The sequence below is a fragment of the Homo sapiens genome, chromosome 14 (assembly GCF_000001405.40).
Source record: "Homo sapiens chromosome 14, GRCh38.p14 Primary Assembly".
In the NCBI taxonomy this organism is placed as follows: domain Eukaryota; kingdom Metazoa; phylum Chordata; class Mammalia; order Primates; family Hominidae; genus Homo; species Homo sapiens.
This window is the reverse complement of record NC_000014.9, coordinates 32,035,190-32,058,693: the sequence shown is the minus strand read 5'-3', so window position 1 is coordinate 32,058,693 and position 23,504 is coordinate 32,035,190. Positions and strand designations below refer to the sequence as shown.

Below are 23,504 nucleotides of genomic sequence, written 5' to 3'. Positions count from 1 at the left end.
ATAAATAAAATGACTATAGCTTTAATATGGATTCAGACAGGGACCTCTAAACCATCCTTCTTCCTCTAGGTTGAAACACACGTATGACATCTGAGAAAGAACTGTTTGTCCAATTAGTTTACTCAATCAATTGTTCATTCATCCTTTCATTTAACCAATATTTACTGAGTGTTGGATATTGTGCTTGGTGCTGAAGATATTAAGATAGAGACAAATCCCCTACCCTCGTTGTTTAATGTGAGAGGCAAACAGAAGAACATCAAACTATAGTGTTAATCACGCTAGAACACTTTTCACTGGGTGTGAAGATGCACTGAGGAAGGCCTCCCTGAGGAGATGAAGACTAGCCAGAGTCTGAAGGAGGAGAGAGAGCCATCACAGTGAACAGAGTAGGGAAGAGCCAAGGGACAGGCACTTGTCTAGAGGGTATAGAGAGGGGGCAATTTTTAGTTTTGATTTAATTTCATTCTGTTCTTATTATCCATCCTTTTTAATGAAAAAAAAGTTAAAAGAAATAAACTTAGTAGGAAGCATTTGGAAAGCTGAACTGTGACTGCACTGAACTTCAGCTCATAGTTTTATTGCTTCAGGCCAGGGAAAGGAGTCGGTAGTCTCCAAAGACCCGTTTTCCACTTTAAAATTTTCTGATTTTTGAAGCTGTAGAACAGGCCTAACAATAAAAGTGATAAAGAAGATTAACTTGCATTTGTGACTATAGCAGACAGGTTAGGTAGGAGAGGGTGCAGGGATAATACAGGAGGAAGTCCAGGAAGCATGGTCAAATGGCCGACAGTTAAGTCATCTTCCAATATTTTTCCAAAACTCTATGGCCCTGGTTCCTCAATCCCCTTTGAACATTATTTATAACTTTCCATGTGAGAGGTTGCAATATATCCCCATTCTTAGAAAACTCCATGCCCATTTAAAAACACAATTCAAAACATGACCACTACAGTTGTAGCCTGAATGTCTCATTTTTTCAACACTTTAAACGTCAGACTTCTTAGATGTCTCTCTTTATCCATTAGAAGTGAAATCATGGAAGCATTTTTTTTTAAACCCCAAGATGGGCAAGGTGGCTCACACCTGTAATCCCAGCACTTCGGGAGGCCAAGGCAGGTGGATTGCCTAATCTTGGGAGTTCGAGACCAGCTCGTCTCTAATAAAATACAAAAGACTAGCCTGGCATGATGACATGAGCTGGTAATACCAGTTACTCAGGAGGCTGAGGCAGGAGGATCACTTGAACCTGGGAGGTGGAGGTTGCAGTGAGCTGAGATTGTGCCATCGTACTCCAGCCTGGGCAACAAAGCAAGACTCTGTCTCAAAAACAAAAACCAACCAGCCAACCAAACAAACAAAAAAACAGAAAATATACATCAAATTTAGCAGCAATCCTGTCGTGGGGCTTCAATAGAACTGGATTGCAATTGTCTAATCTACTGAAAAGTACTTTATTCCATTTTTGCCTGCCTCTTCAAATCCATGCCATGGGATAATTTTTTAAGGGACTACTTCATTTGAATAGTTAAATTATCCTTGGACGTTGCACAAGATAGAACAAATATAAAACTGAAACTGAACTCAGCATTAAAACAAATCATTATGATAAAAACCCAAGTAATAAGACATCATTAAAACTTTCTGATTAAATTAACAGAAGTGGCACAATTTTTCCTTTGTCTTCCTTCTTTATGAAGCTAAAGCTTCTTTATGATGACATCTGAATGTATTTGAGGGATCAGTCAAACCAGGGTAGAGTTCCAACCTCCTATTAAACAGGGAAGAATAACAAAACAAAGGGCTATTATTATTAAGTGTTGCAATAGACAGTTCAAAGTGGCACTCAAAAAATTGGTATGTCCTTTAACCATTTATATGAGTAAGTATATGTATATGTACATATATCTATAAATTTAATATATGGGAAAAGGTTTGGATAGATGCACACTTGCAGAGGAAAGTGGATAGAGTGCAAGGAAAAGGGGTAAGGAGATGGCAAAGAAGAATTTGTAACTTAGGCTTTTATGCTGTTTAAATTTTTATGATTAAAGCTTGTTTAAAATTAAAAAACATAAAACAAAACCAACCAAGTCTGGGAGTCATGATTACACCACTGCATTCCAGCCTCAGCAACATAGCAAGACCCTATCTCAAAAAAAAGAAAGAAAGAAAGAAAGAAAGAAAGAAAGAAAGAAAGAAAGAAAGAAAGAAAGAAAGAAAAGAAAGAAAGAAAGAAAGAAAAGAAAGAAAGAAAGAAAGAAAGAAAGAAAGAAAGAAAGAAAGAAAGAAAGAAAGGAAGAAAAAACAAAACATACCAAACCAGTATGCATCAATTATTAATCAAGAGAAAAGAACAACATTAGTGGATATGGTGGCTTGTGTCTGTAGTCCCAGCTACTCTGGAGACTGAGACAGAGAGGTACTTGAGCCTGGGAGGTAGAGGCTACAGTGAGGTGTGATTGTGCCACTGCACTCCAGCTTGGGTGACAGAGTGAGACCCTGTCTCAAAAAAAAATCAGGCTGGGCGCGGTGGCTCACGCCTGTAATCCCAGCACTTTGGGAGGCCAAGGCAGTTGGATCACCTGAGGTCAGGAATTCAAGACCAGCCTGGCCAACATGGTGAAACCCCGTCTCTAATAAAAATACAAAAATTAGCTGGGTGTGATGGCAGGCGCCTGTCACCTATAGTCCCAGCTACTCAGGAGGCTAAAGCAGGAGAATTGCTTCAACTTGGGAGGCAGAGTTTGCAGTGAGTTGAGATCGTGCCACTGCACTCCAGCCTGGGTGACAGAGCAAGACTCCGTCTCAAAAAAAAAAAAAAAAATCAATAGCCAACTGATAAATGGAAATGAATGAATAGAGTCTAGTTTAGACTCAGTGACACATCAGGGTATAGACCAGAGCTCTGCTTTAAAATCTGTTAAAAAAAAAAAAAAAAACCAAACTGGCCCCAGCACTTTGGGAGGCCAAGGTGGGAGGATTGCTTGAGGCCAAGAGTTCAACACCAGCCTGGACAACATTGTGAGACACTGTCTCTATTAAAAAAAATAATAATAATAACAAAACAAAACAGTACAACAGTAACAAAAAGCCTAAAATAAAGAAAGTTAGGGTCCATAGCATACATTAGAGCAGGCGTACTAGAAGTCTATTGGAAAAGGTTGAAAACTATCTTGGTAGCAGCTTCTTGTTCTTTTCTTGCTATCAGATAAGGTACTTTCAAACATTGAATTAGGTAACCCAAAAGCATAACATCTCTGATTTGGTATGCATTGCAACTTTATACTATACAGATTGCATCATTTTGTACTATGTGTCAAGTATGTCACTGAAAAGTCATAAAACACATGCATTTTACCTGTGATAAATCACCTTGACTAGGTCACAGAAGAAGTAGATTGCATACTGCAGAGTTTTCTAAGTGCCATGTAAGAGCCCTGAAACTTAGTGACACTTCTCTTATTTTTCTGACATGAACGACACATACCATCAAAATCATGGCCCCATCTCACATTTGTTACATTTTTGACAAGCAATTTTCATTCAGTAATGCTTGTTCATGTATACTTGCATAAAACAAAAGGAGACATATAACAGTTTTTTTCATTCATAATTGTAAAGGAGTATTCAACTATATACTGTATAATGCTGGTCATTTCTTAGAATTAATGGAATTAATATGATAATACATAAATAACTAAACTATAATAACATTTTATGTAGGGATTTTTGTTCCATTGTACTCAGTTGTACCTAGTACTTAATTCCCTCATTTCCTCCCTTTTCTTCTTTTTTTTCCCCTCCCATATTAGTCTGTTTTCACTCTGCTGGTAAAAACATACCTGAGACTAGGAAGAAAAAGAAAGAGGTTTAATGGAGAATTTGCAGTTCCACATGGCTGCAGAGGCCTCACAACGATAGTGGAAGGCAAGGAGTAGCGAGTCACATCTTACATGGATGGCAGCAGGCAGAGGGAGAGAATGTCCAAGGAAACTCCTGTTTTTAAAACCATCACATCTCATAAGGCTCATTCACTATCATGAGAACAGCACAGGAAAGACCCGCCCGCATTGTTCAATCACCTCCCACCCGGTTCCTCCCATGACACATGGGAATTGTGGGAGTTACAATTCAAGATGAGATTTGGGTGGGGACACAGCCAAACCATATCACATCCTATCCTTTCTTCCTGTCTTCCTGCTTTCCATAAATATGTATTAAATACCTATTATGCAGCAAGTAGTATGCTGGGTACTGGGAATCCGCAGATAAATGTGACATAATCCCTGCCTTGGATGAGTTTACATTGCAGTGGGGTAGCCACATATGTAAACAGGTGAATCTGAATAAAACATGGTGTCACAAACAAAATCTTGATGAGAAAGAGAATAATATTAATCGGGCATGCCACACACCATGTTAGATTTTTTTTTTATTATTAATAGCACCAGTCGCTCTGAACCTAAGATGTTTTATGTACATTATTCACTTAACCTCACACTTAACTTTCATACCTTCACATAAGTATTTTTACCTTCTTTTTGCAAAAGAGGAACTTGAATTGCAAAAATATTAAATTATGTGAACAAAATTTCAAAGCATCTAAGAAATAATTGGCAGTACTATTAGGATGGTAAACTATAAACTTGGCTGGATTAATTGGCTTGTCAACACTTGCTCCTGAACTAGAACATGTTGTCAAAGCTCGCTTTTAGACAGACAGAAAGAGGCTGCTATAGTTCATTACAAGGAAATACAGTATTTGTTTTAATCATTTTATTTTGTACTTCAAGTATAAGAAGACAATAGTATCATTTTATCAACAATTAATTCAGAATAGAAATGTATTGATAATTGGGTAACTAAATTTTCCTGAGAACAAAAGCACTGATACTCTATATGGAAAATAGAGGACTCTAGAAATGCTATTGAATGATGATATAGTTTGGGTATTTGTCCTCTCCAAATCTCATGTTGTAATGTGATCCCCAGTGTTGGAGGTGGGGCTGAGTGGGAGGTGTTTCGGTCATGGGGGAGGATCCCTCCTGAATGGCATAGTGCTCTCACTGCTGTAATAAGTGAGTACTTGTTCTATTAGTTAATGTAAGATCTGATTGTTAAAGATTCTGAGACCTCCCTCTTCCCTCTCTCTTGCTCCCTTTCTCACTGTATGACATGCTAGCCTTCCTTGCTTTTCATCATGAGTAAAAGCTTCCTGAAGCCTCGCTAGAAGCTGAGCAGATGCTAGTGCCATGCTTCCTGTACAGGCTGCAGAACCATGAGCCAAATAAACATTTCTTTATAAATTATGCCGTCTCAGGTATTCCTTTATAGCAATGCAAAACAGACTAACACAAATGGCTTATCTGATCTCCATTTTACCAACATTCTTTAATTTCACAGTTTATATGCATCCTTATAATGGGAGATAATTTTCTTCCTTTTTGGGGAGCAGTATTGGTATAGTTTCTACAGCCAAGAAGTATCCAGAGGTCTTAAGGCCCTGTAATTTTTTGAATATTATATCTTATAAGCTTTTTTGGGAGTCGGGGCTGGCATTTTATAGCTGGTAAAAGTGAAGAGCTAAGAGTATTAACTAAAAGGTGAAAGAAAGGACAGTTAATGAACCTTCCTCCTAACTATAATATAGTTTAACATTTTCTCTTCTTTTTAAATATACATGAAAGATACTTTGTCTGCTTCCTTCTTTCCTTACAACAAACATATATTAAACACCTATTGTGTTCCGGGCTTTGTGCTAGATACTGTGTGTACAGTGAAATAGCTCAGAGTCTAACAAAGATAGGCCTACAAAGAGATTATTATATGATAGTAGAGGTACCATTGAGCAGTCAGCACAGTTACCATGTTATAGACACTGTATTATGTGCTTTACATGGATTATTTTATTTAATACATAAAACAACTCTGTTCAGGTGGATACTAATATTGTCTCCATCTTACGAATGAGGACAATAAAGCCAACAGAGGTTAGGTACTTGCCCAAGATCACACATCCAGAGAGTGGCATTGCTAAGTGTGTTTGTATTTTAATTACTACAGGATGCTGCTGTAATAGTGATATAAACAAACAGCTGTGGGAGCCCGAAAGGGCTAAAGGGGACTTGGCTTCCAGGCAGTCCAGAGATGCTTTACAGAGGAGACCACATTTGAGCTCTACCTTGAAAGAAGAAATAGAGGAAATTCACTGGGTGGAGAAGAGTGGAAGAGCATTCCAGGCTGTCAAAAAAAGATATGCTAAGGCACAGAGGTGTAAAAGGGCATGGCAAGGTTGAAGAAACAGTTCAGGATCTGTAAGAAATCAATACACCAAAAGCCAGATGTGGAAGATTTGCATGCTTCAACAAGGAGCTTGGTCTTTATCTTCTAGGCTGCAAAAAACTAAGCAGGTAGAATAAAAAGTGTGTGTGTGTGTGTGTGTGTGTGTGTGTGTGTGTGTGTGCTTTAAGTGGGAGCTGAACAATGAGAACACATGAACATAGTGAAAGGAACAACACACACTGGGGCCTGTCAGTGTAGTGGGGGAGGGAGAGCATCAGAATAAACAGCTAATGCATGCGGGGCTTAATACGTAGGTGATGGGTTGATAGGTGCAGCAAACCACCATGGCACACGTTTACCTGTGTAACAAACCTGCATGTCCTGCACATACATGTATCCTGGAATTTAAAATTAAATTAAATTAATTTTTTTAAAGTGTGTGTATTTGTGTGTGTGTGTGAGTGTGCACGCATGTGTAAATAATGGTTACAGCAATGTAGAATGCCAGCTAGCCTACCAAGTTTACCCATAGCCTACCTGAGATTCTACTTCTGGGGACTAGAACTAGATGCTGAGAGGGCAAATAAAACTAGGTAATAAGGGAAGTTTTATTTATGTTCACACCTTATCATGCCATGTTATTATGCTAAGCATTTATACATATATTATTTCAGTTGATCCTCACAACAACCCCAAGAAGTTATTTATTTCTCTATTTTGAAGAGGAGAAATCTGATTGTTAAGAAAGTGATCTGTGGTCATATATGTGATCACTAGCTAAGGTGAAATCTAAACCACCCAAGTCTGTCTTCCTCCAAAGTCCAAGGCCTTTCCACAGAGAACATGTTCAAGGACACTACAATTTAATGGTTCCATTCATTCCAGTTTGCCTTCACTGAATTTAAATAAATTGCCTTCAAGAGCCAAAGTACTAAAGCAGCAAATGGACATGATAAAATAAGGGTCACAAAGCAGATCTATAAAATGCAGGACTAGTTAAAGCTCTTTTTAAAAATATGCTTTATATTTCACCTTTGTTGGCATATTGCCATCCTCCTAAAAGGGAAATTTCTACAGATGAATATGTCATTTGCATTAGCGGTTTTGGAAACTTCCAAGAAAACTATGATTTGAATAAAAGGATGTGGCATTGGAGCAAAAATTACACTTAGCTTTACCTAGCACCCAACTCCCAGAATCAAAGTTATTACCAAAATGATTTTGAATAGGCTGTGTGCATTTATCTGCATATGTATATACACACACACAAAAGCATTTGCATGTGCACATACACACAGTGTCTGTTTAGGGAAACCATACTAGCCCACTGCCCTTAAGACCTGTTTGCAAGAACATATTCCTGTGACTGAATGCCCTTGATACCACAGTATATCAAGTTTCACATTGCTGTGGCAAAGTGCCATTACACTTCTATTATCATTCATTAAGTTTCACAAATGGATTGGGGAAGATAATCCACATGGTGTAAGTGCCATGTAACTGTTAGTTGCTCCTGTTGCTATTTTTATTACTCACCATCATTATCATTATCATTACTTTTCAAATAGACTAGCATTAATACTACCGGGGTAGACCCTAACACCTTGTTTGGAGGGTGTAGCCATAGCAGGAATCTCATATGCCTTTGCCCAAAGAAGTATCTTCTTTTATCTGAAAAGGGCATTTTCTTCAGATAATCAGATTGGCTCAATCAAGCCAATAATCATTCCATGATTTGATTTCCCTCTTTCAGTTTGTCCCCTCTTCTTCCTTTCTTTCAATGAGTATCTTTTAACCCTGATGTTTACTTCATCTATTTATTCAGTAAATATTTACTGGGTACCTACTCCAGGACAGACCCAGTTCCAAATGCAGTGAATAAAGCAGCCAAAAACACCTGCCCTCAGGAAGCTGCTATTCTATTGCATTGGTCATGCCACACATCAGATTGTCAGTCAACCTGAGGATGCGTGTCAGGCATTCTTCCAGGACCTAGGATTGGCAACAGGTGAAGAGTGGGGAGGAGAAAAGACCAGGCCTCTAGACAGCCCCCAGTCCCTACCCGTACCCTCCTGCCACACCAGGGTGCCAGAGGGGAAAAAAAATTCTCCTCTTGTCACGCTCACCTTTGTGTGATCCCCTGGGTTGTTACTGCCGCTGGAGTCTCCCAACTCTTGCAGTTGCGGATGTGGCTCTCTTACTTTCCAACAAGCAGATGCCTAATACCAAGCACCTAGGATACAAAGCTTTACCTGAGGAAAAATCTGAAGATTTGAAGGAACTGAGGGCATTTTACGTGAAAATCAGGACTTCTGGCTGCAGGCCCTGTGTAGGCACCTTCTCATTAGGTTAGAGCCCATGCTGCAGTCTAGGAATCCATCCACACACAACCCACCTCTGCTGAGCGAGAAGCCCACGTTGGCAATGCCTGAAGGGCACTATCAGGGAGACTGAATTTGACCTACTTCATACTCAGATTCCATCTCTGTAGGATCTTAATGAGCTTTATTCAACCAAATCTTCTCAGTTCCCCTAAAAATTGAGGAAGGAAACAAGATTCAAAATGATTCATTTAGTATATCCTTTTCTTATGCAGTGTTGATTAAAATCACTGTTTTTAAGCAAGGATATTTCATTATAAGAGCCGGAATGGAAACTGTCTAAAAAATAGGTAAATTAAACTCTTAGAAAACACAAAAATGTTATTTTGGCCAGTGATTCAGCCACATCACTTCAAATCAAATCTTTTACTAAGAGTAATAACATATGAAGAAAATGGATGTTTTGAGTTGCATTTCTTATTTTCTCTTTCCTCCTTCTGGTGGAGGTGACTAATGAACAATGAAATGGCCAAGAGGTAGGCAGGAAGCCACAGAGGTGAGGAGGAGGAGCGAAAGATAGGAATAATCCACAAATAGTTGCTAGGTCTGAAACAATGAGGAATTCAGTGTATTTCCACTTTACAAGGTAAGGGAAGAGGAAAATAATAGTTATGTTAGCTTAGGTAATGACAGTAATTAGTAGTTGCATGCTTTTAATAGGCCAGGCCCAGTGCCTGCACAGTATTTTATTTCTATGATCTCTCAGCAGTTCTGCAAGGGTGGCATTATAGTTATTTCGAAGAAGAAAAATTGAAGACTTAGAGTGTTCAGTAAGTAAGTTGCCCAGGCCCACATAGCAAGGTTAGCCTGGAATGGAACCCAGATTCAATGCCCTTCACTTTCACCATAGGTCTCCTCTGTACCAGTCCTTAGAATCTAGTGCAAAACAGTACAAATTCCCCAAATGGGAAAATGTTAACACCTCAGTTTAAAACATATTAAATAACATTCTAGAGGAATATATAGGATATCATTGGCCTATGGAATGTAAACCTTAGTGTACATAAAAGTTATCTAGAGAACTTGTTTAAATGGCATATTCCTGGGTCCCACCCATGGAGATTGAGATTCAATCTGTCTGGGAACCTAGGAAGAGTCTAGGAATCTACATTTTCAGAAAGCATCCATGTGATTAACAAAGGCGATCCTCAGATCATACTTTGACCTTACCCCAAATTGTGAATTCTCAATTTACCATTCCTTTGCCTCAACCACTTCATTCTAATGTATATGAAGCTTTGTCAATTTGATAGTCTAGTGTAGCTGAAAAAAATACAACACTGGCGTAAAGAAGCCTAGGGTTCTAGGTAAAACTCTGTTGCTAACAAGTTGGGAAAACTCAAATAATTTATTTGAATTTGGTGGGCTTTTTTTCCTCACATGTAAAATTAAGCATTTCATACACCTATGATTTTATTTGGCTGAAGTAAGCCAAATTTTTAAATAACAATCTATAGAGCCTAAACATCTCAATGGTGACATGTAAGAAGCAAAGTCTACTTTATTTATAAATTTGTAATATCAACAAAGTGCTTCCAAATATCATGCATTTGGGAGAAGGAAATGGGAATCCAAAGATGGAAGCAGATATAACTTAAATTATATCATTAAGGCAATTCCGTTGTTTGCTTAGCAATGGATTTCCTCAATCGGGTAGTTGCACCTGTAACTAAGAATGTTTCAAGTATATGGTATTTCCAATCTTAAAAATCAAGTTTTTGTTCATCTTAAGAAACAAAAAACAAAATCCTGCATGAAATAAAAAAAATTTAAAAAGGCAAAAAAAATCAAGTTTTTGCATAATAATTCGTTCTAATTTTCAATAGTATCTTGAAGTTTAAAGCTATTTTGAGCTTGTTTTTAAAAAACTAAAGATACCCCTTGATTTATATTAATATACCACTGGATGTTAAAAGCACAGGTTAAGAATTGCTGATTTATATCTTAGAGAAAAATGCTCACAGTATGGCATATTGGGTGGTTAGTGTTCATGGAGACAAACTTAATGAAATGAGTCACACAAATGAAGTCACAAGTTATAAATGAGAAGGAAGGCCACTGATGCAAAAAATACATAGTTCTAAATCAATGAGGAAAACCACAAAGTGAACTTGTTGTACCGTCAGAAAATTGTATATATATTTACCTCCCTTGAAATATTCCTCTTTGCTCTGTGACTTATTAATACCTTCCCAGAAGCCACTAATTTGCTTCTTCAAACACACTAATTTGGCGGCAGAATTTGGTTGCAGAAAGAGACAATAAAAAAATGTATTATTACATAGGAATTCTGAATCACTAGAAACAAAAGAAAAAATTCACTCAATTGTGAACTAAGTTAAGATGCACTACTTACAGCAATGTTGAGAAAAACATTAATTTCACATTTAGATAGTGTATAATATTTCCTCCAACATTTTGCAGTATAATTTAACAGCTCTTATTTAAAAAGGAACTTCTCAACTCAATCAATGCCAGTTTTATCTCCAAAGCTTTCAATTATACCACATTCCCAAAAGCAATGTATTAAGTAAACTCAATGCATTCATAATCTTACATAGCCTGTATAGCATAGTAGAGTCATTTAGGGAAGTGTACTGAGATTATTTTGCATGTATCACAGGGATAAATATACTTTTTCTATGTATTTTCTAGCTATTTCTTTAGCAAGATCTTGGAGAGTTCATAAATTGACTTTGACTTCTTCAGTTTATGATTTTGCAGCGTCCAAGAAAGATAAAATGTTTCTGCTGCAGCTAAGGAGGATAATATTGCTACAGTCTATTTGCTTGTAAGGTAAGCTCAGAAGTCAAAATGAAAATGTTACTGTTTTAGGTCAAAAATTCTAAGAAAAACAATTTTTAAAATATGTATACTCATCTTTAATAACATCCATGAATTCTATGCCTTAAAAATCCAAAGGAACTGGTGCATTTCTGACTTAAAAAAATTTCAGCCAATAACCTCTAATTCACACACAACCTAAAATATGAAACACCAGAACCAAACCACTGACAAGCCGTCAAAGGCCAGCGAGGCACCAGGCTCTGTAGATGCTTAAGCACCTTCCTCCTTCACATTTTTCTGCATCTTCTAAAGTGAGAAAACAGTTCTGTGAGCCTGAAAGGGGCTGGTGGAACTGCAGAGCTCTCTTTACCAAGTCAAATTAGATGAGTATGCCCCCTGTGGACCAAGGACTTCTATAATTATGATTTTCAGAAATCATTGGAATGCAACTTGGCCTGCAAAATTTGCATTTAATTACCTAATTTCTTAGAGACTCTGGCCCACTTAAACAATTTTGGGTATAATTATGGTCTAAGGATATCCTATCAATGTTGAGGGAAACAGAGAGACAGGCCTCAGTTGGTAATGTGTCTATTTTGTAAATTGGTAGACGAAGTAATTCTGAAGCATAATTCTGAATAACTCTGGTGTCTGAAAGGCCAGAAGAAGGAAGAAGGACTATCAAAGTAGATAAAATGTATTAATTACAATGGCAGCTAAAATTTATCAAATGTTTGACATGAATGATCTTGGTTAATCCTAATGGTAATCCTTTGAGCTAAGGATAAGTATATATTCTGTTTTACAGAGAAGGAAACTGAGGCTCAAAGAAGTTAAGCAGCTTGTCTAAGGATTCACATCTGGTAATAGCAGAATCAGCTTTTTTTTTTTTTTTTTTTTTGAGACAAGGTCCTGCTCTGCCACCCAGGCTGAAATGCAGAGGCATGATCTTAGCTCACTGCAGCCTCAACTCTCTGGGTTCAAGTGAACCTCCTGCCTCAGCCACCCAAGTAGCTGGGACTACAGGTGCTTGCCACCACACCCAGCTAATTTTTAATTTATTTGTAGAGACAGGGATGTCCCTATGTTACCCAGGCTGGTCTCGAACTCCTGAGCTCAAGCGATCCTCCCTTCTTAGCCTCCCAAAGTGCTGGGATTATAGGCATGAGCCACCACACCCAGCCCAGAATCAGAATTTAACCCAGGCAGCTGGGTTCCAGATCTGATATGTTTAAAAAGTATGACATACTACCTTCCAGAAGTGAAGAATAGAAAGGAAATTCCTCTTCTGTTTCCATAAATCCAGCTCTACAACAGTTAGCTTATCTCTGCCTACACATCATTAGTAGCCAAAGTAATGAGACAATCTCCAAGGTAAGCATCATAAAATGTTCAAATGAGATTTAAATAAGAAACTTATATTTTTAGTTTATGCTACATTGTGCTTTACTAAAGGCAATTTATTTCATTCAGTACTTCAGAAGCCATACTATTAATTTTGGAATGTGAAATTAGCTAAGGAATCCTGGGATTCCTTACTTGTCCTATTCAATCTGTTACTCTTTTTGATAGATATTTCTCTAGCACCGAGGTTCCAAAATTTGGGGGCATGGAATTACAGCCTCCGTGAACACATTTCAAGTTGTAAAGCTCCTTGCGAAGGGGTGGGGAAGACAGGGCAACTCTCTATCTAAAATGTGGGGGAATTGGCCATAAGACAAATAGAATTCTCTTTCATATGACTCTGACTGGGAAAATCTCACTGCCTGGAGATGCCTAGAAGAAATTTCTTGCCAACTCTGACTAGGGAGCTTGGGATATCCCAGCAGCACTCCTTCAGCAGTGGGACCCTTACAGTCCACCCCTCACCTTTAAGGACCAGTGTTTCTCAGCCTGAGTAGAGATGCTAAGGAATCCCAGGAACCCTGTGCAATTCCTAACATCTTAGGGGCACAGCTAAACAGTGCACACTATTTTCTTCCCCAGCCTTTCTATTCTGAATTTTGGGGTTCTGTGTTATCTGCAATCACACAGATCTCAAGCTTTGAAAAGTGACAATGACCAATTTCTCTTATGATCCATTCATTTAAAGCTTGTGGTCAAACAGACAAAGAAATGACTGAAAAAGGCTGGAAAGCTTAAGAACGTTTTATAAATTATGTAATATATTAAATTGCCTAAAAGCGCATGTGCCTTTTCAAAAGATAGCATCCTTGTTTTTAATCACGTTCTTATTGTCTAGACACAAGTTCAGCCTATATTTCATGAAACATTATTTCCTTATCTGGCAATGACTTTTCTTGAACCTGTGGTCAGATTAGAAGGTTGGGCAGATGGTACCTTCAATTTAAATACAATGTTTGCTCTACCTAAGAAGAGTATTGACTATAAAAGTCACAGGCTCCGGACCATTTCCTGTGGGATTTTTCCACTATCCTTCCAATTAGTCAAAATGATGTTTCTCTAAACATGATCATTTATTTTTCTCTGGAGGGTTGCCTTCCATACCGTTCAAGAAAGATAATTCTGGAAAATAAAGGAAGCTTTCTACTCTCCATGCCCTGGTCCCGTGCAATATTTATGATTAATTGCAGCCCCTATGAATGAATGACGAAAGAAAAAAGCATTTAGTTTCCTTGTTCTCCTCACATAAAAAAGCATTTGTTGCAATTTGGGTCCCAGCCAACTTTCATTGTTTAGGCAATAATTAGTCAAATTATAGCAATCACTAACAATCATAACAGAAATCATATAATTGTAATTTAGACCAATGACCTTGGACTTATGAAAATAGGATGTGGGGTATTTAATTGGATAATGTTGCACTATAATTCTATACCTATAAACTCTAGGTTTTTATATTTGTTGATTAATTTACAATACCCTGAACCTAAACATTTCTGAAAGTGACCAAACAATGTAAGTTCCACAAAAGATCCAAATAGCATCTTGTTGCAAACAAACTGAGCCATATTAGAAGTAAAATAAGACTCTCATATAAATAATGACTTCAGATATTTCAGAAATGTGAATTGATTTGCAGCAAACACTTAAATTGAACTGTTTTGGGAAATTGGGTCCAGTTTAAATTATTGAATGATTATAGCAAATCAACATATTTTCTAATCAGAGAAATGCTGAATCTGTTCAATACTTATCTCAGTAGAGTTCACCTTTAAAAACAGAATGGATTACACAGACAAAAACAAACCTCAAGTTGGATACCTCCCATCAACAAAACGATGAATAAAAGACTCTTCCAGCACAGCAGGCAAATCTCCCCTTTAATAAGTAGCCAAGAAAAAAAGCAATATTTCAATGTTTGCTTTCCTTCCTCTAAGGGAGAAGGTTTCACTATGACTTATTTTACTTCCTTTTGATTCTGTCCTATTTTCTTGGCTGTCACAGACAGCTCCAGTAGCAACATGACAATACCACTTTGCACTTGCCGAAAGCGCCTTTTCTCTAAAACTCTCAGCTGTGGTCTATGCGAGGAGAGTATAAAACAGGGGAAATGATGCAAACATTGAAGTTCATCCTGTCATTCAAACATTTTGAGAAAAGCAGAATCATCTTAACCCAAGGCTGGGAATGAGGGACACCCTCCAAAAACAAAACAAACACAAATTTTTTTCCCAGAGTTCATGCTTAGTATCCTTGAGGCCTCTGGCAAGATTTATCATTATCTCGAGCTCTGGCTCACATATAAAATAAAGCAATGTCCATTTCCTTATGAGGATGTGAAGAATAAGTAGATTGCCTTTTCCAAAATAAAAGTTGGAGGTAAAAAAAAAATTAGATTGCTGGAATTCTAAAAATAAGCCTTAAGTGGGTACCTAGAGAGAATCAATCTTGAATGCGTGTTTCTGGAGTAGGGAAAACTCATATATCTATATAAAAAGAAAAGAAAAGAAAAGATGTACTTGTCCAGGGAAGAAACACCTCACAACAAAAAATGTTTCAAAATAAAAGTTTTCAAAAGACTGTTAATGCTGTCTCTCCGTATGTGTGTGTGTGTGTGAGTGTTTGTGTATACACACACATCTATATCTACCTATACAGTATTTTTTAATGGAAGAAAGAAAACTTTCTTTACAAATATCAGAGCTATCTGATGTATATTTAAGGTTGTTACTTAAGGTTATCATCATAAGACAGAGATTTTGGACTCACCAGACATCTGATGAGTGAGTGCCTGGATTTCGAAGATTGGTGCTCACCCCTTTCCTCTTAGCATTTATAATGACCTTCAAAACTCAGAGCAGTTTCCTCTTCACATTTTGTCAAAGATACAAATAATTTATTTCAGAGTTTATCAGCTAATTAGAAGAGTTGGTGTGTGGGGGTTGAAAATTTCTCATCCCAGTTTTTGAATTTAATGAACTTGAACCAAAATATGCATAGCAACTATCTAATCCCCTATTATAAGAAAGCACAGGGAAGAAATAAATCTACTGGCATAATCAGAAAGAACTTTTCTTACAACTATGAATTTCTTTTAGATTAAAAAATATGTTTTTTCAAAAAGAGATTACAAATCAGTATATACAGTACCATTCTGTTTTTGGTTTGAAAAAATACACATATATACAAGTCAAATACAGCAACATATAGAAGGATAATATATCATGGCTAAGTGGGATTTATCCTGGGAATGCAAGCCTGGTTTAACACTGAAAAATTAATTAATATAATTTGCCATATCAACAGACTAAAGAAGAAAAATCACATGATCATCTCAATATTCATACAAAAGCATTTGAGAAAATTCTACATCCATTCATAATACTCTCAGCAAACTAGAAAGCAAAGGGAAATTACTTAACCTTTATTGATTAATAAAGGGTGTTTACAAAAAACCCTACAGCTAACATCATATTGAATGGTAAAAGACTAAATGCTTTTCCCCCAAGAACAGAAACCAGATAAAGACTCTCACCACTTCTGTTCAACATTATACTGAAGGTCCTAGCCAATTCAATAAGGTAAGAAAAAAAATAAATGCATGTAGATTGGAAATACTACAATTTTGTCTGAAGATAAATGAACACATCTAAAGATGTTCAATGATATTAGTTATTAGGGGAAATGCAATTAAAACTACCATATTATATTCCTTCATACCTATTAGAATTGCTTTTTAAAAAATGATCATAGTGAGTGCTGGTCAGGGTGTGGAACAACTGAAACTCTATACTTGCTGGTGGGATATAAATGGTAAAGCTGCTCTGAAAAACAGTTTGACATTAAACATGTACTTAACATATGATCCAGCAATCATATTCCTATTACTCAAGAGAAATGAAAACTTATTTCCACACAAAACCTTTACTTGATTGTTGTAGTGGCTTTATTCATAATTGCTAAATACCGGAGACAATGCAAATGTTCTTCAACTGGCAAATGGAAACAAGCTGTGGAACATGTATACAATGAAATATTACTCAGTGATAAAAAGAAATGAACTACTCATATGTGCAATAATATGGATGGATCTCAAATGCCTTATGCTAAGTGAAATAAGCCAGACTCAAAGGGCTACATCCTGTATAATTCCACTTATGTGACATCCCAGAAAAGGCAAAGTTTTAGGAACAGAAAATAGATTGGTTGGTCACCAGGCGGCTGAAAGTAGGAATAAGAGCAGGGCTTGACTACGAAGGCAGCAAAAGGAATGTTTTAAGGGTGATAGAACTGTTCTGTATCTTGATTGTGCTGGTGCTTATATGACAGCATATATGTGTTTGCCTAACTCATAGAATGGTACCCCAAAAGTGTGAATTTTACCGTAAGTAAATACAGTAAACTTAAAAAGTGAATTAGCACACGCAGATACAAACATAAAAGGATATATATCAAAATACTGATGGTGATTATCTCTTAGAGATGGTATTACTCATGATTTTAATTTTCTTCCTTGTCCTTTCCTGGAATTTAAAAATGATTCCCAATCAATAGGTATTATTTTCGTTTCTATGGGGAAAATAAAGTTGCGTTCCTTTCATATATTGAATGTGAGCCTCCAGACCTAGTGAAGACGGCAACTGCCTCTGGGAGACTCTTGGATACCAGTTTCCCTCCCCTTTTTCCCTCCTGTCCTTTATCCTTTACAATGATTTCAACATATCAGTCCATGAGTTCAAGAAGCTGCAACTGTTGCCAAATGCCTTTTCAAGCAACCCCTAATTTCTTTGCTGCCATTTGAGTCTATTTCTGACATACTAATAAGATTAGGCAAATATTTACTGAGCCCTTACATGTGCTAGGCACTGCTAGGTGTTCTACGTGCAATATCTTATGCATCTCTAACACAGCAACCTTAAATGTTGTAGTTTTTCTGTCCTCAATTTATAGATGCCCATGGTCACAAGCTAACAGAGACAGAAGCTGGATAATTTCAGAGTCTAAATTCTCAACCACTGTAGTGAAGTGAGGTGGTTAAGGAGCACAGCATCTGGAGGAAAGCTGCCTGGATTCTAAAGCTTGGCTCCCTTTAGTAGTGGGGTCTTGGGGAAATTACTTATCTTCTCTGAGTCTGTTTCCTGAGAATAAAATAAGGATAATAGTAGTAACTACTTCATCAGTTGGTTAGGAGGATTAAATTATATATGTGAAGTGCCTGGTACATAATAAGTGTTGTCGTTAATCCCACACCCCAGCCCCAAGTCTTCTTCTTTGGGTGTAGCAAGGACCTTCAGCTTCCATCAAGGTGATTTCTTAACTGTTCAGTAACAGCACCAGGCTCTTCTTGCCTCAGGATCACTGGTGTATTATTCCCTCAGCCCAGAACATCCTCCCTTCTCTTTTTCACCTTCTGTCTTACCCTAGCCTGCAAGGCTCAGTTCAAGTTTTCCTCCATCCAAAACAACATTGCTTCGTATACTTCTTTCTAAGTGGTCACAAATAGTTTCATCGGCATTAATTTTGTCTTTGATTAAAATGGTCATCCAATAAAGTAGTTTGTAGCCTCATGTAGTTATTTAAACTTAAATTGATTAAAATGAAATGAAATTAAAAATGTACTTTCTTGCTGTGCACGGTAGCTCATCCCAGTACTTTGGGAGGCCGAGGTGGGCAGATCACCTGAGGTCAGCCTGGCCAACATGGTGAAACCCCAGCTCTACTATAAATACAAAAATTAGCCAGGCATGGGGCGGGCACCTGTAATCCTAGCTACTCAGGAGGCTGAGGCAGGAGAATCGCTGGAATTTGGGAGGCAGGGGTTGCAGTGAGCCGACATGGCACCACTGCACTCCAGCCTAGGTGACAGAGCAAGACTCCGTCTAAAAAAAAAAAAAAACCAAACAAACAAATCACTTTCTCAGTTACGCTAGCCACAGTTCAAGTGCTCCCACGGCTAGTGTCAGCTATATTGGATAGCACCACTATTGAGCATTTCCTTCGCTATAGAAAGTTCTATTGAGTGCTTGTCTAAAATGTAAACAAGGGCAAGAACTATAGCTAAAGCTCTGGAAACCCAGCAGCGCACAACCCAATGATTACATAGGAGGAACTTTGTTGAGTACTTGTGTTTTGTTTTATTGATTCACCAAGGGGTTTCACATTTGATGGAAAACCTAATGTGGGCATGATCTTTTGACCTAGGCTACAAGTTACTGATTGATTAAATCATTCACCCAATTTTAACTTTGGTCTTGAAGGATCAAATTTCCAAAAAGCCAAGCCCATCTTTCCTTTTTAGGATAACGCAATAATTATTCTGTCAATGACCCCTTCAGTTAGGAGCTGAAGTCCTCTATGACACACACAATTCATACAGAATTTTAGATGGGAAGCTACCTATGTTAAATAATCTTTTGCAAAACCTAACCTAAAATAATTCTCTTAAAGTGAAAAGATTTCCAAGTGCTTAGCAAATACTGCCCTGATAACTTGCAGCATTTCAATAAAATATATTCACCTTATTTTAGAGGTGAAGAATCAAGGTCAAGTGATTTACCCAAGGTCACATTTCAGTGCTACTTCTGGATCCAGTTCCCTCTGACACCTGAGCCCCTAGTTTCTCTCTTTGCTGAATCCCAGAGTTCTAAATCACTCCCATACCCTTAGGGCATTTTATGCCCACTAATGATACCACTTATTCTGAGTGTCTACAATTTGTAAGCTCTCTGCAAAAGCAGCAAAAGCTGAGGCTGCTGCATACCCCCCACCCCCCCACCCCATCATGTAAACATCTTGGCTGTATCCCAGCTGAGTCACTGCCACCGAGTAAAGGACTCACAAAAAAAAAAAAAAAAAAAAGAAAAAAATCAGACCAAGCTTAAAGCACTCCACTAAAGCTGCTGCAGATAAGTAGGTCATTAAAATATAAAATATAAAATTAGCAAAACAGCATTTTTCCCCCACCATATGCTAAGAGGTTTCACCAAATGATAACACATACAAAAAAATCCATATACCAGACAGGAGGGTGAAGTGAGAAAGTGGCTTCAGGGATACATTGATTGAGATACTCAAGCAAGATAAATTGCTTTTTGATAATTAGATTTGAGGAAATCTTTTTTTTCTTCTGTGATTCCATTGTTGTATGGAATCACAGTCTACTGCAAAAAGACTTAACATTCTAAGGAGGTAGAGGTCTTTCTCCATGTGCGTCATCTCTTTGTGCTTATATCAAAGACATTATGATAAGAATTTTCATAAAATTTTTCTTAAGCGTATTTGCCAAATATTTTCAATGTTAAATGGTTGAGTTTTTCAACCAAACTATAATTAAGACTTGAAGAAGAAAATTATTCCAGGGTACATCATTATTTACATTCCAAAAGAATAAAAGGGGGATAGATGTGAGTTTCAACAAATGAAATTAGCAATATGAACCTGATTTAATATTTTAGGTATTCCCTGATAGCTTCTGGAATCATGGCATAAATAATGGCCCCAATTATTAAAACTGAGAAATTTAACAAGGCACAAGATCAAAGTGCACACACACTGAGCTAACTTCACACTCATTCCGTCACAATTACTAAAAAAATGCTTTCAGCTGGGCTTGCACTTTGAATTAGAGGGGATTTCTTAACTGACAGCAAATTTATAGTCTTTCCTTATTGCAGCAAATTTGCTTGACTTTTGGTCTTTATGCTGACATTTTGACAAACTAGTACTCCAGTTCCATCGAGAAATAGCATGATAATAATCTATGGCAAACACGCGCAAATTTTAAAAAAGAGACAAATAGCTGGATAACACAGAACTCTCCAGCATCAGAAAAAATAATCAACAGTACAACAAAAACTTACTGGCAGCCTCTTTGCTTTTGTCCCTTTTGAAATCCTCCTGACCACCCCCATCCCCTGGGAGGTATGTTGGATCTTTTCATTAAAGAGATTGGAATAGGGAAGGAGGAAGAAATCGATTCAGAGGACATAGACTGTGATGAAGAGATAGAGAGAAATAGACACAGAGACAAGGGGGAGAGATAGAGAAGCAGAGAGAGCCCAAGACAGATGATGTGGAAAGAGGTGCAGAGAGAGAATTAAAACTTCTAATGTAGAGTTAGTTAGTGTTAGGTTGGGAGTTGAGTGTAATATTCTACTGGGAAATCCAAGAAACAGTGAAAAGAAGATGGATGTACTCAGCTGAAACTGATTCGCTCAGAGGGCCAGTCATATTTTCCCCGACATTTCACCACATTGTGCCTTCTGTTCATGCTCAGGGTCTCTCTTCTGAGCAGCAGCATCCAAACTTGGAGTTTTCACTCATGATGTTCCAGTCAGGTCAGTCTCCAGTGAGTGAAGAATACTAACTTATAACCTCACAGATATTTGGATCAGGAAGTTATTTTTCATTTGAAAACTCAACAGCCTGAGCTACTCATCCCCGACACAATTATGTAGCACATATGCCTGGTTGCTCTCAGATCCTGGCATTTCATTAATTACTACAAGAGATGATTGCCTCTTACACTTTGATTTGACAAGGCATCCTCTTCAGTGAAGCGGTAGATAGAGATATTGTAGGATCAACTGATTCTGGGGGGTTGACGATATGAAGCAAGGGTTTGTGTGATTTGTTCCACATCTGGGGACATTGGCCTATTGGTTATTCACACCAGAATATACTGAGTATCCTGGTGAACTTCATTTTTAAATGCGGACCAATAGTATTTATTGTGCCCGTGGTTCTCACACTTGAGCATTCATCAGAATCACCTGGACTGGAGGGCTTGCTAGAACACACATTGCTGGGTCCTCCCCCAAGAGTTTCTGACCCAGTAGATCTGGGGACCACCTTGAGAACCGTTGACCTAAGCAATCCTGGGCTATTTACGAGGAGAATGCTGTGGGGAAAACTGATATGTTCAAGGATGCAAAAAGGGAAGAAGATGCCTCCTCTAGACCAGCACTTTTTAAAGTTGAAGGTGCCCTATGAATGCAGATTCTGATTGACAGGCCTGGAGTGGGTGCTAACATTCTACAGGCCTAACAAAACTCTCAGGGGATGTTGATATTGATGCTGCTGACTCAGGAACCACACTGAGTTTCAAGGCTCTACGTTAACCAGGGGAGTGTTTCTCAAAGTATATCCTGAGGGCCATTTATAAAAAAATCATAGGGTTGTTTGGGGGAGTGAAGGGGATTGTTATTAGTGCAGATTCCTTGGTCCACCCCTAGATATACTGTATTAGAAACTCTCTAGAGATTCCTAGGTGGATCCTAGGAATCTGCATGTCAAAGAAGAGTTTCTTACATTCTTCTACAGATTGAGAGAGAACAAGGGACATCAACAGGTGGATATTCAGAGATCAGTATTTCCAGGCACTGTCTACTTGGGTCCCTAGTTATTTTCTCTGTCTTAGACCTTCTACCATCTTTTTTATTTTTATTTTTTTTTGGCTGTTGATGACATCACCGGAAAAGGTAAAGAGAATTTTAAAAGAAGGGGTGGAGCCACGTGCGGTGGCTCACGCCTATAATCTCAGTACGTTGGAAGGTTGAGACGGGTGGATCACTTGTGGGAGGCTGAAGTAGGTGGATCACTTGAGGTCAGGAGTTCGAGACCAGCCTGGCCAACATGGTGAAACCCCGTCCCTACCAAAAATACAAAAATTAGCCGAGCATGGTGGTGCGTGCCTGTAATCCCAGCTACTCAGGAGGCTGAGTCAGGAGAATTATTTGAACCTGGGAGGCGGAGACTGCAGTGAACTGAGATGGCACCACTGCACTCCAGCCTGGGTGACAGAGCAAGGCTCTGTCTCAAAAAAAAAAAAAAAAGAGTGAGGGGTGAAACTTCTAATGATCTGTTTTACTCTGCATTAGCCAAAAATTCGTAGGGGAAAATAAAATGGAAACCGAAGGCAATGTTTTAAAAAATTTCCATTGAGTTAAATTTTTTTCTGTCTTACCTATCCTCTGTTTCTATAGGCAACCACAAATTGTTGTCTAGACTGCTTTTGTTAGTGGTAAGTGAAAAATATTTTTGTAATGATTATTTAATATTTTGCTAAATCCAGAAGACAGGAACTGTCTGCCAGCAAGTGCCATATTGAAGTTTCCTAAACACTACAGAAAATAGAAATTATTTACAGTTAGCACTCAACATTGGCAAACAAGTCATGCTATTAGAGATGTATTTGCATATGTTATATTAAGAAGCATGCAAATTTATGTGGAAAAGTACATATAATTGGGCATAATTAATCATTTCTACCAATGATAAATATCCCATTTCCCAATATTGCCATCCAATCCTCCCTTTCTTTTGAGCATAGATATGTGTGTTTCTAACCTCCTGGGATGGCAGCATTATGTAAAATACCTCTCCCTCCACCCTCCAGTTCTGTACCTACATCTACATTTAAAGGACTAACCACTGGATCAATTTCATGTTTTCATTCAAAGACTAAGAAAATAAAGTTCGAACGGTAGTAAAATATGGACAGTTGTTTCTAATTATTGTTCTTATTGTTAGGACCATCCAGGGAGCTTTCTAAAAGTTCGGATTCCCCAACCATGTCAAGATTCAGATTCAGTTGGTCTGGGGTAGGCCAGGAAATTTATAACATTCCACGTGACTCAGACATTCAGC

The 23,504-nt window shown here is 37.9% G+C and overlaps 1 long non-coding RNA gene across 2 annotated transcripts; it reads right to left on the bottom strand.

Annotated features, from left to right (window-relative positions):
• Window positions 1–1,313: 1,313 nt before the first annotated feature.
• LOC105370440 (uncharacterized) lies at window positions 1,314–16,088 on the bottom strand. 2 transcript variants are annotated; one of them, XR_943727.2, is made up of 4 exons: window positions 14,665–16,088; window positions 10,813–10,890; window positions 8,412–8,817; window positions 1,314–1,771 (listed from the first exon to the last, which is right to left on the bottom strand). It is a non-coding gene; the product is annotated as an uncharacterized LOC105370440 (long non-coding RNA). The 2 variants fall into 2 exon arrangements; XR_001750712.1 differs by having other exon boundaries at window positions 8,412–10,890.
• Window positions 16,089–23,504: the final 7,416 nt, after the last annotated feature.